This window comes from Homo sapiens, chromosome 15 (genome assembly GCF_000001405.40).
Source record: "Homo sapiens chromosome 15, GRCh38.p14 Primary Assembly".
Lineage (NCBI taxonomy): Eukaryota > Metazoa > Chordata > Mammalia > Primates > Hominidae > Homo > Homo sapiens.
In genome coordinates, this window is record NC_000015.10 from 41,430,683 (window position 1) to 41,446,929 (window position 16,247).

Below are 16,247 nucleotides of genomic sequence, written 5' to 3' on the forward strand. Positions count from 1 at the left end.
GTGAGCCAAGATCATACCACTGCACTCTTGTCTAGGCGACAGACCAAGATTTCATCTCCAAAAACAAACAAAAAGAATATAAAGGACTGAGCTAAAAAGTAATCTTGCTGTGAGTTTTCCCAGTAACTTCCTATACAATCCTCAAGTTGTGGGAAGTGCATCTTGTATCTTTCACACTGTTAAGAGAGTCTTTGCTGTCTCCATACTATTGTGGGTTTTCTTTTCTTTTTTTTGTATTGAGACAGAGTCTTGCACTGTCGCCCGGGCTGGAGTGCAGTGGTGTGATCTCGGCTCACTGCAACCTCCACCTCCTAGGTTCAAGCGATTCTCCTTGCCTCAGACTCCCAAGTAGCTGGGATTACAGGCGCCTGCCACCATGCCCAGCTAATTTTTTTGTATTTTTAGTAGAGACGGGGTTTCATCATGTTGGCCAGGCTGGTCTTGAACTCCTGACCTCGTGATCTGCCCACCTTGGCCTCCCAAAGTGCTGGGATTACAGTCGTGAGCCACTGCGTCCAGCGGGTTTTTCTTTTTTCTTTTTTTTTTTTTGAGAAGGAGTTTTGCTCTTGTTGCCCAGGCTAGAGTGCAGTGGTGCAATCTCGGCTCACTGCAACCTCTGCCTTCTGGTTTCAAGCAATTCTTCTGCCTCAGCCTCCCAAGTAGCTGGGATTACAGGCGCCTGCCACCACGCCCAGCTACTTTTTTTGTATTTTTAGTGGAGACAGGGTTTCACCATGTTGGTCAGACTGGTCTCGAACTGCTGACCTCGTGATCCACCTGCCTCGGCCTCCCAAAGTGCTGGGATTACAGGCGTGAACCACCGCGCCCGACTGGGTTTTTCTTTTTAAGGCAGTGTCTTGCTCTATTTCCCAGGCTGGAGTGAAGTGGTTCACTGCACTCTCAACCACCCAGACTCAAAACAATTCTGCCTCAGCCTCTTGAGTAGCTGAGACTATAGGCATGTGCCACCACACCTGGCTGAGTTTTTGGATTTTTTGTACAGACGGGGTTTCACCACATTGCCCAGACTGGTCTCGAATTCCTGGGCTCAAACGATCAGCCCTCGTCGGCTTCCCAAAGTGCTAGGACTACAGTTGTGAGCCAGTGTCCCTGGCTCATACTTTTTTTTTTTTTTTGAGACGCAGTCTCCCTCTGTTGCTCAGGCCAGAGTGCAGTGGCACGATCTTGGCCCACTGCAACCTTCACCTGCCAGGTTGAAGTGATTCTCCTGCCTCAGCCTCCCGAGTAGCTAGACTACAGGTGCACGCCCCCATGCCTGGCTAATTTTTTGTATTTTTAGTAGAGACGTGGTTTCACCATGCTGGCCAGGATGGTGTTGAACTCCTGACCTTGTGATCCGCCCACCTCGGCCTTCCAAAATGCTGGGATTACAGGCATGAGCCACTGTGCCTGGCCATACTATTGTTAATATGGTATTTAATGTAGTAGAAGAGGGATTGTACTTATCAGATGCAGTTGTTTGTTGATGAAGGAGAGCTGTTTGTTAGGTTTTCTTTTTTTTTTTTTTTGAGATGGAGTCTTGCTCTGTCACTCAGTCTGGATGGAGTGCAGTGGCACAATCTCGGCCCACTGCAAGTTCCGCCTCCCGGGTTCACGCCATTCTCCCACCTCAGCCTCCGGAGTACCTGGGACTACAGGCGCTCGCCACCACGCCTGGCTAATTTTTTGTATTTTTAGTAGAGACAGGGTTTCACTGTGTTAGCCAGGTTGGTCTTGATCTCCTGACCTCGTGATCCACCCACCTCAGCCTCCCAAAGTGCTGGGATTACAGGCGTGAGCCACTGCGCCCGGCCTAGGTTTTCAGTATGTAGAGCGGAACCTCCTTAACAGGAAGGCAGTACTAATGTCTTAACACTTCAGTTACAGTAACTTTTAACAGATGTCTACTATGGTTTGATTGATAGCAAATCCAAATTTCTCTTATAACGAATTGGTATTAAAACAGGCATACTAGGCTGGGCATGGTGGCTCACACCTGTAATCCCAGCACTTTGGGAGGCCAAGGCGGCGGCTCACCTGAGATCAGGAGTTCAAGACCAGCCTGGCTAATGTGGTGAAACCCTACTTCTACTAAAAATACAAAAAATTAGCCAGGTGTTGTGGTGCACACCTGTAATCCCAGCTACTTGGGAGGCTGAGGCAGGAGAATTGCTTGAACCAGGAGGCCGAGGTTGTAGTGAGCCGGGATCGCACCATTGCACTCCAGCTTGGGCAACAAGAGTGAAACTCCGTCTCACAAAAAAAAGAAAAACAAACAGGCATACTGAGGTCGGCTGCGGTGGCTCACACCTGTAATCCCAACACTTTGGGAGGCTGAGGTGGGCAGATCATCAGGAGTTCGAGACCATCCTGGCCAACATGGTGAAAACCTGTCTCTACTAAAAATACAAAACTATTAGCTGGGTGTGGTGGCGTGCACCTATAGTCCCAGCTACTTGGGAGGCTGAGGCAGGAGAATCACTTGAACCAGGGAGGCGGAGGTTGCTGTGAGCCGAGATCACTCCACTATACTCCAGCCTGGGAGACATAGTGAGAGTCCATCTCAAAAAAAATAAATAAATAAAAATATAAAACTGGCATAATAATGCATTTGTGAAACTGAAGGGGTCAGAGAAGAGATTACTTACCAGAAGTCTTTTTTGCCTTTTTGAGACAGAGTCTCACTCTGTTGCCCAGGCTGGAGTGCACTGGCATGATCTTTGCTCACCGCAACCCCCACCTCCCAGACTCAAGTGATTCTCCCACCTCAGCCTCCTGAGCAGCTAGGACTACAGGCGTGCGCCACCATGCCCAGCTGATTTTTGTATTTTTAGCAAAGATCAGGTTTCACCATGTTGGCCAGGCACACCTCAAGTGATATACCTGCCTCAGCCTCCCAAAGTAGTGGTATTACAAACGTGAGCCACTGCACCCAGCCCAGAAGTCTTTAAAGCTTATAAATTTACATTAAAGTAATATGGGAAAAAAGGTAATGGTAAAGACCATAAACGTATTACTATATAACCCAGCAATCCCAGTCCTAGGTATTTACTCAAAGTGAAGTAAAAACTAATGTTTACATAGAAGACTATACATGAACATACAATTACCCCCAAATGGTAACAACTCAGATGTTTTATTGTTGTTGTTTGCTACCACACTTTTTTTTTTTTTTTTTTTTTGATGGAGTTTTGCTCTTTTTGCCCAGGCTGGAGTGCAATGGTGCTATTTCAGTTCACTGCAACCTCTGCCTCCCAGGTTCAAGCAATTCTTCTGCCTCAGCCTCCCGAGTAGCTAGGATTACAGGCATGCACCACCACGCACAGCTAATTTTTTATTTTTAGTAGAGATGCGGTTTCTCCATGTTGGTCAGGCTGGTCTCGAACTCCCAACCTCAGGTGATCCGCCACCTTGGCCTCCCCAAAGTGCTGGAATTACAGGCGTGAGCCACCACGCCTGGCCTTTTTTTTTTTTTTTTTTAAGTAAAGATGAGGTCATGCTATGTTGCCAAGCTGGTCTCAAACTTTTGGGCTCAAGCGGTCCTCCCACCTTGGCTTCCCAAAGTGCTGGGATTATAGGCGTGAACCACTGCACCTAGCACAAATGTTTTTCAGCTGGTAAATGGTTCAACAAACTGATACATTCATACAGTGGAATACTACTTAGCAAAAATAGAGACAAACTATAGTAATGATACATGCTGTAATGTGAATGAATCTCAAATGCACTGTGCTGAATGAAAGAAGCCAAACTCAAAAGGCTAAGATACTATATGATTCCATCTATATGATGTTCTATAGGGACAGAAAACAGGTCTCTGGTTGCCAGGGAATGGGAGAAGGGATGTATAAAGATGAGAGAATTGAGGGATGATGGAACTGTAGAGTGTAGATGATGGGATATGGAGTGGAACCTCCTTAGCAGGAAGGCAGTACTAATGTCTTTTTTTTTTTTTTTCTTTTTGAGATGGAGTCTTGCACTGTCACCCGGGCTGGAGTGCAGTGATGCGATCTCTGCTCACTGCAACCTCTGCCTGCCAGGTTGAAGCAGTTCTCCTGCCTCAGCCTCCCGAGTAGCTGGGATTACAGGCGCACATCACCATGCCCGGCTAATTTTTTGTATTTTTAGTAGAGACGGAGTTTCACTATGTTGGCCAGGATGGTCTCGAACTCCTGACCTCGTGATCTGCCCGCCTTGGCCTCCCAAAGTTCTGGGATTACAGGCGTGAGCCACCGCGCCTGGCCAGCAGTACTAATGTCTTACTTTAGTTACAGTAACTCTTTTTTTTTTTTTTTTGAGATGGAGTCTCGCTCTGTCGCCCATGCTGGAGTGCAGTGGCGTGATCTCAGCTCACTGCAACCTCTGCCTCCTGGGTTCAAGCGATTCTCCTGCCTGTAGCCTCCTGCCTACAGTAACTTTTAGCAGATGTCTGCTGTGTTTTGATTAATAGCAAATCCAAATCTTTGTTATAATCAATTGGTATCAAAACAGGAGTACTAGTGTATTTGTGAACCTGAAGGAGTCAGAGATGAGATTAGATCTTCTCTGTATCAGAGAAGATAAAGATCTTGACTGTGGTCGTGGTTTAAAGTATTTGTCAAACTCATAGAACTATATGTGTTAGTATATTAGAAAAGTATATTAGAAAGGATAAAATATATATAAATTATACCTCAAGTTTGGGTTTTTTGTTTTGTTTTTTTTTTTATAGAGACTGGGTCTCTACAAGCAAGCCTCCTACCTTGGCCTCCCAAAGTGTTGGGATTACAGGTGTAGACCACCGTGCCCAGTTTACCTCAGGTTTTAAAACGACTGTAAACACACAAGTGTTGATATAATTTGCATTTGGTCCATAGAGTTAACATTTTGGTATGAAAAAGCAGAGTATGATTTCAGTCTTTCAGGAAGTTGGTATGTTAACTCTGTCTAGTGAAATGACAAGAGTTAACATTTTATGAGTGTTTATCAACAAGAGAGTCAGTTGTTTAATCTGAGAAGGTCATTTCTCATTTTAGCCAAGGAGGGAGGATATACTCCTAAAATAGAGACTGGAAGAATAAAACAGATACTTTGTAGCAGTCTATTATTTTACAGTCTGTCTTGGCACTTGATCCATAATTGTATAGCACCATCATCGTTAAGGAATATTACTACTAGTGTTTATTAGCTGTATCTTCTCTCTTTTGGCAGAAGGGAAAAATGTTTCAGACTAGTAAGCCATGACTCAGTTAGGAGCCAGGATTCTGTCTGCCGAGGTTTGAATCCTGGCTCTATCATGTACCAGCTGTGTTACTAGGTAAGTTACACAGCTTGGGTAAGTTACTTAAACTCCTTAGTTTCTTGGCCTGGTGTGGTGGTTCACACCTGTAATCCCAGCACTTTGGGAGGCCAAGGCGAGTGAATCACCTGAGGTCAGTAGTTCAAGACCAGCCTGGGCAGCATGACAAAACCCCATTTCTACTAAAAGTACAAAAATTAGCCAGGCATGGCTGGGTGCAGTGGCTCACGCCTGTAATCCTAGCACTCTGGGAGGCCAAAGCAGGCGGATCACGAGGTCAGGAGATTGAGACCATCCTGGCTAACACAGTGAAATCCCGTCTCTACTAAAAAAAAAAAAAAAAAAAAAAATTAGCTGGGCTTGGCTGGCACCGGTAGTCCCAGCTACTCAGGAGGCTGAGGCAGGAGAATGGTGTGAACCCGGGAGGCCGATCTTGCAGTGAGCCAAGATTGTGCCACTGCACTCTAGCCTGGGTGACAGAGCGAGACTCCGTCTCAAAAAAAAAAAAAAAAAAATTGCCAGGCGTGGTGGTGGGTGCCTGTAGTCCCAGCCACTTGGGAGGTTGAGGCAGTAGAATGGTATGAACCCGGGAGGCGGAGCTTGCAGTAAGCCGAGATCACACCACTGCACTCCAGCCTGGGCGACAGAGCAAGACTCTGTCTCAAAAAAAAAAAAAAAAAAAAATTAGCCAGGCATGGTGGCATTCTCCTGTAGTCCCATCTACTTGGGAGGCTGAGGCACGGCCATTGCTTGAATCTGGGAGGTGGAGGTTGCAGTCAGCCGAGATCGTGCCACTGCACTCTAGACTGGGCAACAGAGTGAGTCTCTGTCTCAAAAACAATAAGAGACCAGGCATGGTGGCTCACGCCTGTAATCCCAGCACTTTGGGAGGTCGAGTTGGGCGGATTACAAGGTCAGGAGATCGAGACCATCCTGGCCAACTTGGTGAAACCCCGTCTCTACTAAAATACAAAAAATTACCCAGGTGTGGTGGCACACCCCTGTAGTCCCAGCTACTCGGGAGGTTGACTCAGGAGAATCGCTTGAACCCGGGAGGCGGAGGTTGCAGTAAGCCGAGATCTCGCCACTGCACTCCAGCCTGGGCGACAGAGCAAGACTCCATCTTGAAACAAACAAACAATAAAAACCAAGAACAACAAAAAAATCTCTTTTCTTTCATTATCTTTAAATGGTAATGATATCAGTTGTTGTGAAGATTAAATATCAGATGTTTAGAAAAGTACCTTGCATTGGGCCGGGTGTGGGGGCTCACATCTGTAATCCCAGCACTTTGGGATGCCAAGGCGGGCGGATCACGAGGTCAGGAGATCGAGAGCATCCTGGCTAATGTGGTCAAACCCCCTCTCTACTAAAAATACAAAAAAAAAAAATTAGCCGGGCGTGGTGGTGGGCGCCTGACAGCTACTCGGGAGGCTGAGGCAGGAGAATGGTGTGAACCCGGGAGGCAGAGCTTGTAGTAAGCCGAGGTCGCACCACTGTACTCCAGCCTGGGTGACACAGCGAGACTCTGTCTCAAAAAAAAAGAAAAAAGAAAAGTATCTGGCATCTAGTGAGTACAGTATAATTGTGGACTGGTATTGGTATTAGCAGAAAGCAGAGCAAGTAACCTTTTGTTGCGTTTTTGAGTGACTGGACTGAGTTGAGGAGACTTCAAGTGAGAAGGGAACCATGTGACAGAGCAAATCTTGGTTGTAGTCATGGCTTACTTACTGGTACTTCCTTCTTACTGTCATTTCGCTTAAATGACCAGGACAAGGCAGAGGTGGTGAATTGGGAGAATAGGGCTTGTGAAATTAGGATTCTGGTGTAGTGGCCAGCACACTTACTGCTTGTTGTCACAGACTGGATTAAACACTGGACACTTTTTTTCTGGTTTAAGTATTCAAAATATAAAATGACCTCAGAAATTACAGTTTGTAAGCTTATTCAAAACTGCCCCACAAATGCCAATTTTACCATTAAAATACTAAACCGGATAAAACAGTGACTAGGTTACCTTTGTAAACATGTTTCTTACCAGTCCCAGAGAATCAGTGCTTCTGTTGTTTAGGGTAGAATCAGGAACAGTTTGGGGATAGCCTCCAGTTTGGTTCCATTTCCTGTCCAACTTCAGACATATATTATCCATTGAAAAGGTGGGGCAGATTTTCTAAACATTTCTTCAGCATCTTGGAATCCTAGCAGTCAGTCTGTTCATGCTGATAGAAGTCCCTGTGACAATGTCCTTTAGTTGAAAACACAAAAATATAAAAAAGATCTAGAGAGGGTGGGCATTTTATTATTCTTGGATATTCTTTCTCTGTTGAACAAAACTGATGTGCCTATTTTTGTCCCATTAGGAGCTCTTGTCCCTGGCAAAGCGAAAGCGCAGTGACTCTGAGGAGAAGGAGCCGCCTGTGAGTCAGCCTGCAGCCTCGTCAGACTCGGAGACGTCTGACAGTGACGATGAGGTGGGTGTGGAGGGCCTCGGCTTCTGGGACCATTAGATAGTTGAGGCTCCTCGCTTTGGTGGCTCCTGTTGGCCTCATTTCCTTAAATGGAGACTTACAGCCTAAGATCTACAAGAATTTATTGGGGAAAGAAAATGGTGTAAGGAAGGCCGGGCGCTGTGGCTCTCTCCTGTAATCCCAGCACTTTGGGAGGCTGAGGTGGGTGGATCACCTGAGGTCAGGAGTTCGAGACCAGCCTGGCCAACATGGTGAAACCCTGTCTCTACTAAAAATACAAAAATTAGCCAGGCGTGGTGGTGCACGCCTGTAATCCCAGCTACTAAGGAGGCTGAGGCAGGAGAATTGCTTGAACTCAGGAGGCAGAGGTTGCAGTGAGCCGGGATCGCCCCACTGCACTGCAGCCTGGGTGACAAAGCAAGACTCTGTCTCAAAAAAAAAAAGAAAATGGTGTAATGAAAGCTATTGAATGTCATGTTCATTGTACTGCTAGTTACCTAGTGGGTCCCTCTGCAGGACATGCGTAGTCATTCTGTAGCTTTTTTTTTTTTTTTCAGCCTTATTGCAGAAGTGGTACAGTCAGTAATCCTATTTTTTCTTTTATTTTCTTTTTTTTTTTTTCAAGACAGAGTCTCACTCTGTCACCAGGCTGGAGTGCAGTGGTGTGATCTTGGCTCACTGCAACTTCCGCCTTCCAGGTTCACGCCATTCTCCTGCCTCAGCCTACTGACTAGCTGGGACTACAGGCACCCGCCACCAGGCCTGGCTAATTTTTTTTTTTATTTTTAGTAGAGACGGGGTTTCACTGTGTTAGCCAGGGTGGTCTCAATCTCCTGACCTCGTGATCCACCCACCTTGGCCTCCCAAAGTGCTGGGATTACAGGTGTGAGCCACTGCGCCCGGACTCTCTTTTTTCTTTTTGAGTCATCTTTTTAATCTCACTTTCAAGTTAGAAAATAAATTCTATCAAGGATGCTGTAGTTTAATGGGAAATACTTTAGTGAGAAAAGAAACTTTGGGAAGATTGATTCAACATCCCTCCGAGTGATGGTGTTAACTTCAAAGGAGGAAAATCCAACTGTTCATTGTCTAGACCAAGGTCACTTTCCCAAATTACCTACCAACAATGGCAGGCCCTAAAAGATCCAAAACCTTAATGGAAGACAGGGATGAGGGGAAAGATATTTGAAACACTTCTACATGTTTCTCATTTGATTTATTTATTTTATTTTATTTTTTTGAGATGGAGTCTCACTCTTATCGCCCAGGCCAGAGTGCAACGGCACGATCTCGGCTCACTGCAACCTCTGCCTCTCGGGTTCAAGCGATTCTCCTGCCTCAGCCTCCCAAGTAGCTGGAACTACAAGCACGCACCACAGTGCCCGGCTGATTTTTGTATTTTTAGTGGAGACAGGGTTTTGCCACGTTCGCCAGGCTGGTCTCAAACTTCCGACCTCAGATGATCCACCTGCCTTGGCCTCCCAAACTGCTGAGATTACAGGCATGAGCCATTGCACCCAGCCTTTCATTTGATTTAAAGTATTTTCTTCCCCTTAGTAATTACTTGCAGAGAAGCCGGATATCACCTTTCAGTGTAATTTCTTACCCTACAGCCTAGGAAAATATTTGTTAACAGTAAAGTAAAAAATGTTTATTTAATATAATGAAATTTAATTAGCAGCTGAATAGTATTTACCGGTGCCCTGCATGTGCATATTGGAGTGATTGCCTTCTGATCAACTGTAGTGATAATTTCTTTCTTTTTTTTTTTTTTTTTCTTGAGACTGCGTCTCACTCTGTCACCCAGGCTACAGTGCAGCGGCGCAATCTCGGCTCACTGCAACCTCTGCCTTCCGGGTTTAAGAGATTCTCCTGCCTCAGCCTCCTGAGTAGCTGGGACTACAGGTGCGTGCCACCACACCTGGCTAATTTTTTATTTTTAGTAGAGATGGGGTTTCACCATGTTGGCCAGGCTGGTCTCAAACTCCTAACCTCAGGTGACCCGCCCCCTTGGCCTCCCAAAGTGCTGGGATTATAGGCGTGAGCCACCGCGCCTGGCCTCTTTTTTTTTTTTTTTTTTGAGACAGAGTCTCGCTCTGTTGCCAGGCTGGAGTGCAGTGGTGCGATCTCAGCTCACTGCAACCTCTGCCTCCTGGGTTCAAGCAATTTTCCTGTCTCAACCTCCCAAGTAGCTGGGACTGCAGGCGCATGTCACCACACCCAGCTAATTTTTTGTATTTTTGGTAGAGTCGGGGTTTCACCACGTTAGCCAAGATGGTCTCATTCTCCTGACCTCGTGATCTGCCCGCCTCGGCTTCCCAAAGTGCTGGGATTAGAGGCGTGAGCCCTGTGCCTGGCCAAAAGTTTATTCTTTTGTTTATTTTTAATGGATAAACTATAATTTCTCTCAAATTAACAAAAAATCAGTGGGGGGTCTATGAAATAATTTGCTTTTTCATTTTGTTTTCTGTTTTCTTTCTTTAAATGCCTAGACAATACAGAAAAACCTTGAAATAATTTTCTCTCCCACTAGTCCCCTCTTTTTTTTTTTTTTTTTTTTTGAGACGGAGTCTCACTCTGTCACCCAGGCTGGAGTGCAGTGGCGTGATCTCGGCTTACTGCAAGCTCCGCCTCCTGGGCTCACTCCATTCTTCTGCCTCAACCTCCCAAATAGCTGGGACTACAGGCGCCTGCCACCACTCCTGGCTAATTTTTTGTATTTTTAGTAGAGACGGGGTTTCACCATGTTAGCCAGGATGGTCTCTATCTCCTGACCTTGTGATCCGCCCGCCTCGGCCTCCCAAAGTGCTGGGATTACAGGCGTGAGCCACCATGTCTGGCCTCTCTCCCACTATTCTTATAGCTACTTTTATTTTTCATGTTTCAGAAGTCAGCTGCTGTGGTCCACCCTTGCCACTCAGTATTGTATTAAGTTTGAATATGTGTTATGCCTGGAATACCCTGTAATGTGTTTGTGGTCTCTGGTATTCCTTAAGATACAAGCAGTAAGTCTGCTTGGAACACATTCATTCTCCATATGTCTGTTGTTAAAAGTTAGGTCAGAGTCCTAACTTTTGCAGTTAGTACTGAGATTCCCTTCCTCCTTTTTTAGCCAAAGCATTAGAGGAGCCCACAACTTGTGTTAGAGGAGATCCACATCCATAAAATTCTTCATGGTTTAGGGTTCCCTTTGTTACTTGCAGCTGCTTAATGAAGTAAAAAACTGCTCATCTTAGAACACTACCCAATGATTTGTGCACGTATTGGAGAAAAAGCTGACAGCAAGCTCCACCCTGCCCAGCAAGAAATGAGCGTTTGAGTGACTTTTCCCCTACAGGATTCTTAGCTCCTGCTGCTGCCTTCAGATTCTAGTACTCCAGGCCCTCAGGCTTATTGTAACTCTACTCCAGTCCCTCTCTCACGAGAGCAGCAGCGTCTGTATCATGGTCATTCTGAAAGATGCCTGTTTTTCTGTTTCCATCATGTCTCTTTGGCCCAAGATACTAGCTTAGCACGAGCACCTCTGAGTTAGAGCAAATAGTTCATTATTTTGGACAGTTCAGAAAATAACTATTAAAATCTTTATTAAAAAATTCTTCCAGCCACTGTGTAACTCAATGTTATTACTGTGAGCTCAAACTTATTGCTGCTGTGGACATTTTAGATTGGGTAGGGGACTTCTGAGAGATTCTTAGGTTATAAAGTTTGAGACAGTGGCTCTTTTTTTCCCCTTTCATAATGATTTTTTTTTTTTTTTGAGATGGAGTCTCTCTCTGTTGCCCAGGCTGGAGTGCAGTGGCGTGATCTTGGCTCGCTGTAAGCTCTGCCTCCCGGGTTCACGCCATTCTTCTGCCTCAGCCTCCCGAGCAGCTGGGACTACAGGCGCTCACCACCACGCCTGGCTAATTTTTTGTATTTTTAATAGAGACGGGGTTTTACAGTGCTAGCCAGGATGATCTTGATATCCTGACCTCATGATCCGCCGGCCTCATCCTCCCAAAGTGCTGGGATCACAGGTGTGAGCCACCATCATAATGATTATTAATACGTCTTTCGTGGGTGAAAAAACACATACTGAAGTAGTTTGCTATGTCTTCTCGTTTCTTCAACTTTTGTGTCTTTAACGCCTGCAGATTAACCTTTTAGAAATTTGGTTGTTAAAGTGGCAATTCTCGGGCCAGGCATGGTGGCTCACACCTGTAATCCCAGCACTTTGGGAGGCCAAGGCAGGTAGATCACTTGAGGTCAGGAGTTCGAGACCAGACTGGCCAAAATGGCGAAACCCTGTCTCTACTAAAAATGCAAAAATTAGCCAGGCGTAGTAGTGGGCACCTGTAGTCCTAGCTACTCGGGAGGCTAAGGTATGAAAATCGCTTGAGCCCAGAAGGCAGAGGTTGCAGTGGGCCGAGAACGCTCCACTATATTCCAGGCTGGGCCCCAGAGTGAGACTGCATCTCAATAAAAATAAATAAATTAAATAAAGTGGCAATTTTCCATCAGAGGAAGCCCTCCTTGTACCAGAAGCTGCCCTGCAGTTTTTTCAAACTTATATATGTCTCTCATACCGTTTCTTTTCATTAGTGAGCCATTAATATAGGTAGAAAGAAATACGTTTGTCCCCTCAGATTTGCTAGGACAGAAAATTGGTCAAGAACAACTGAGCTAAAAAGTTAATCGGTAATTTGTTTATAAAATCAGAGACATGCACTGATTTTAGAGCAAAAAGATATTTAGCTAATTGATGAGGGAGAGGGAAATGGAGAGAAGCTCTGAAAGTTTTCTATCCTGAAAAAAATGGGTACACTGGACATTCAGTATAATGTCATATTAGTGAGGAAATAAGTAGATGTTTCACATATAATGTAGCTTGGTGGGGGGAAACACCAACATTTAATGACAGAGTATATACTTGTCCTATTATTTTTAGTGATTGAATTATTCTCGATATCTGGAGGCACATGTAAAACTAAGAAGCAAGGCTGTTTGTAAGATTTACATTGGCCAAGGTCAAGGTCAGAATGCTGTGGTGTGGCACTTTGATGCTGTCACTTCCTCTCCTTGAAAGCATTTGATCAGAGAAGCATCATCAAAGGTTCAAACAAGAGTGATTGGAAGGGAAGATAACAAGGTGAAAAGGAGGGGAGCTAGCAGCCATTCAATCATGAGTTGGGGTTAAAAAAAAAAACGGCCAGCAGGGTGTGGTGGCTCACACCTATAGTCCAGCAATTTGGGAGGCCAAGGTGGGAGGATTGCTTAAGCTGGGAAGTTCGGGACCAGCCTGGGCAATATGGCAAAACCCCATCTCTACTAAAAATACAAAAATTATTGTAGCTAGAGGTGCAATAATAGAAAAATTGGGCCGGGTGCAGTGGCTCACGCCTGTAATCTCAGCACTTTGGGAGGCCGAGACAGGCAGATTACAAGGTCTGGAGCTCGAGACCATCCTGGCTAACATGGTGAAACCCTGTCTCTACTAAAAATACAAAAAAATTAGCCGGGCGTGGTGGCGGGCGCCTGTAGTCCCAGCTACTCTGGAGGCTGAGGCAGGAGAATGGCGTGAACCCGGGGGGCAGAGCTTGCAGTGAGCCGAGATTGCACCACTGCACTCCAGCCTGGGCGACAGAGCGAGACTCCATCTCAAAAAAAAACAAAGAAAAAGAAAAATTAAAAAAAAATTTTTTTTAATACAAAAATTAGTCAGGTGTGGTGGTGTGCATCTGTTACCCCAGCTACTCAGGAGGCTGAGGTGGGAGGATCACCTAACCTCAGGAGGTCAAGGGTGCAGTGAGCTGTAATCATGCCACTGCACTCCAACCTGGGCAACAGATTGAGACTCTGTCTCAAAGGAAAAAAGAAAAATACTTGCTAGATTTTTTTTTTTTTGAGCCAGAGTCTTGCTCTGTCATCCAGGCTGGAGTGCAGTGGTGCAATCTCAGCTCACTGCAACCTCCGCCTCCTGGGCTCAAGAGATTCTCCTGCCTCAGCCTCTCGAGTAGCTGGGATTACAGGCGCCTGCCACCACGCCCGGCTAACTTTTTGTACTTTTAATAGAGATGGGGTTTCACCGTGTTACCCAGGCTGGTGTTGAACTCCTGAGCTCAGGTGATCCGCCTGCCTCGGGCTCCCAAAGTGCTAGGATTACAGGCGTGACCATCGCGGCCGGCCCGTTAGATATTATATGTAGTAGTTTTTCTGTTGATTTAAAGCCATGATTACGAATAACAGTTCTTGTACTGTGAAAAAATGTCTTCCAAAATATCCAGCTGTGTGGTACTGCTTTATACAGCTTCCTTTTTCCTCTGTTATATTGGTAAGAAGTGACCATTGTGCTCTTTTCTTGGTAATGTCTTCTATAACACTTCCAACTTACTGCATATTTTCTGTCGTGGGGTCAGGAAGCCAGGGAATGCCATAGAGTTTAGGCTGGAATACTGCGCTTTAGTACTTGAACTTAGTGACAGCTGTTTAGATTGCTCATGAGCTTTATTTTTATTTTATTTTATTTATTTATTTATTTTTTTGAGACGGAGTCTCGGTCTGTCGCCCAGGCTGGAGTGCAGTGGCACGATCTTGGCTCACTCCAAGCTCCACCTCCCGGATTCACGCCGTTCTCCTGCCTCAGCCTCCCTAGTAGCTGGGACTACAGGCGCCCACCACCAATGCCCAGCTAATTTTTTTTTGTATTTTTAGTAGAGACGGGGTTTCTCTGTGTTAGCCAGGATGGTCTTGATCTCCTGACCTCGTGATCCACCCGCCTCAGCCTCCCAAAGTGCTGGGATTACAGGCGTGAGCCACTGCGCCCGGCCTCATGAGCTTTATGTTTTACATATTGGCTCTTAACTGTGTAGACAAATAGACAGTAACACCTTATCTTTCTAGACACCATTAAGATCTCGTTGCAAGAATTAGGAATAAGGTGATTTTCATGGACTAGTTAATTGCTCAAATGTATTTTCAAGAAATTCCGACACTCCCAACCTAACAGTGTAATGTAGTATTAATTATATTGTTCATTTTTTGGTATCACTTCTGTTTTGTTTGTGCTTTTGTCTTCATAACTAGACTGCAAGTTTTTGTGATTGAGTGCAAGGATTCTCTATGCTTTCCAGTTAAATGTATGTGATTGCTTGATGATGAAATACAATAGTGTCTTTTGTACTTTATCTGATTACACAGTAGAAAGGAAAAGAAAGCTAAGAAAGCTAAGCTATTCTTCATGTCTTCAGGCTGACATTAAATTGCATTTACTGCCTCCTGTCAGTTGGGATTAAAAAAAATTGCATTTACTCTTCAACTCCTGACCCCATTTTTTTTTTTTTTTTTTGGAAACAGAGTCTTGCTCTATCAAGAGGGCTGGAGTGTGGTGGCTCAATCTCTGCTCACTGTAACCTCTGCCTCCTGGGTTCAGGCAATTCTTGTACTTCAGTCTTCCAAGTAGCTGGGATTACAGGCGCATGCTACCACGCCCAGCTAATTTTTTTGTATTTTTAGTAGAGACGGGGTTTCACTATGTTGGCCAGGCTGGTCTCGAACTCCTGGCCTCAAGTGATCTGTCTGCCTCGGCCTCCCAGAGTGCTGATCCCAGCACAGGTGTGAGCCACCACACCCAGCTTCCTCTGACTCTTTTTTTATTTTCAGAAAAAAACACCTAAATCAGGAACCGTGCCCTCTCAAACACATCTTTTTTGTGGCCATTGTCAGTATCTAGAATAATGACTATAGAACTTTTCTTATGATTAGTTTGACTCAGAATAACATTCAGTTCATATGGAAACCTACAATGTTACAGGGTCTTAGAGATCATCTGAACTTTTTTTCCCCCACAGATGAGAGAACAGACTCACAGAAATTCTCATTTTTGGCCAGGTGCGGTGTCTTAGGCCTGTAATCCCAACACTTTGGGAGGTTGAGGCGGGCGGATCACGAGGTCAGGAGATCGAGACCATCCTAACCCAGTGAAACCCCTTTTCTACTAAAAATACAAAAAATTAGCCAGGCGTGGTGGCGCACGCCTGTAGTCCCAGCTACTCAGGAGGCTGAGGCAGGAGAATCGCTTGAACCCAGGAGGTGGAGGTTGCAGTGAGCCGAGATTGTGCCACTGCCTGGGCAACAGAGCAAGACTCCGTCTCAAAAAAAAAAAATTATTTTCATAAAATAGTACCTCACATGTATGTAGAACTTCCTGGTTTCTAGTGTGCGCTAAAACTTGTCTTATTCTCTCTCCTTTTAGTCTCACACTACCCTGGTAGGTGGTCAAGGCAGTGTTATTATTCCTACTTTACAGATAAGGAGATACTCTCTGGTTAGAGGCTTGGGCTCTATCCCATTTCTTTAGACCCTAATCCCAGTGTAGTTTGTCACTAGCCCAGCTGTTATTTTTTTTTTTTTTTTTGAGACGGAGTCTCCCTCTGTCACCCAGGCTGGGGTGCAATGGCACGATCTTGGCTTACTGCAACCTCCACCTCCCAGGTTCAAGCAATTCTCCTCCCTTGGCCTCCTGA

General features: G+C 45.3%; 1 protein-coding gene across 1 annotated transcript in view, besides 1 other annotated feature; it reads left to right on the forward strand.

Moving 5' to 3' along the window:
* The window catches only part of RTF1 (RTF1 homolog, Paf1/RNA polymerase II complex component), a 66,469-nt gene that overhangs the window by 13,588 nt on the left and 36,634 nt on the right, over positions 1-16,247 (forward strand). Inside the window, exon 2 of the mRNA NM_015138.5 lies at positions 7,639-7,749. Within this exon, the coding sequence (NP_055953.3) occupies positions 7,639-7,749 (111 nt within the window). The remainder of the gene's footprint in view (positions 1-7,638; positions 7,750-16,247) is intronic.
* Positions 1,093-1,593: an enhancer, noted in NCBI's record as "H3K27ac hESC enhancer chr15:41723973-41724473 (GRCh37/hg19 assembly coordinates)". NCBI's record gives its function as "activates a minimal SCP1, AML or CMV promoter by ChIP-STARR-seq in naive H9 embryonic stem cells {active_cell/tissue: H9 hESC(naive)}" and the evidence as "EXISTENCE:reporter gene assay evidence [ECO:0000049][PMID:30033119]".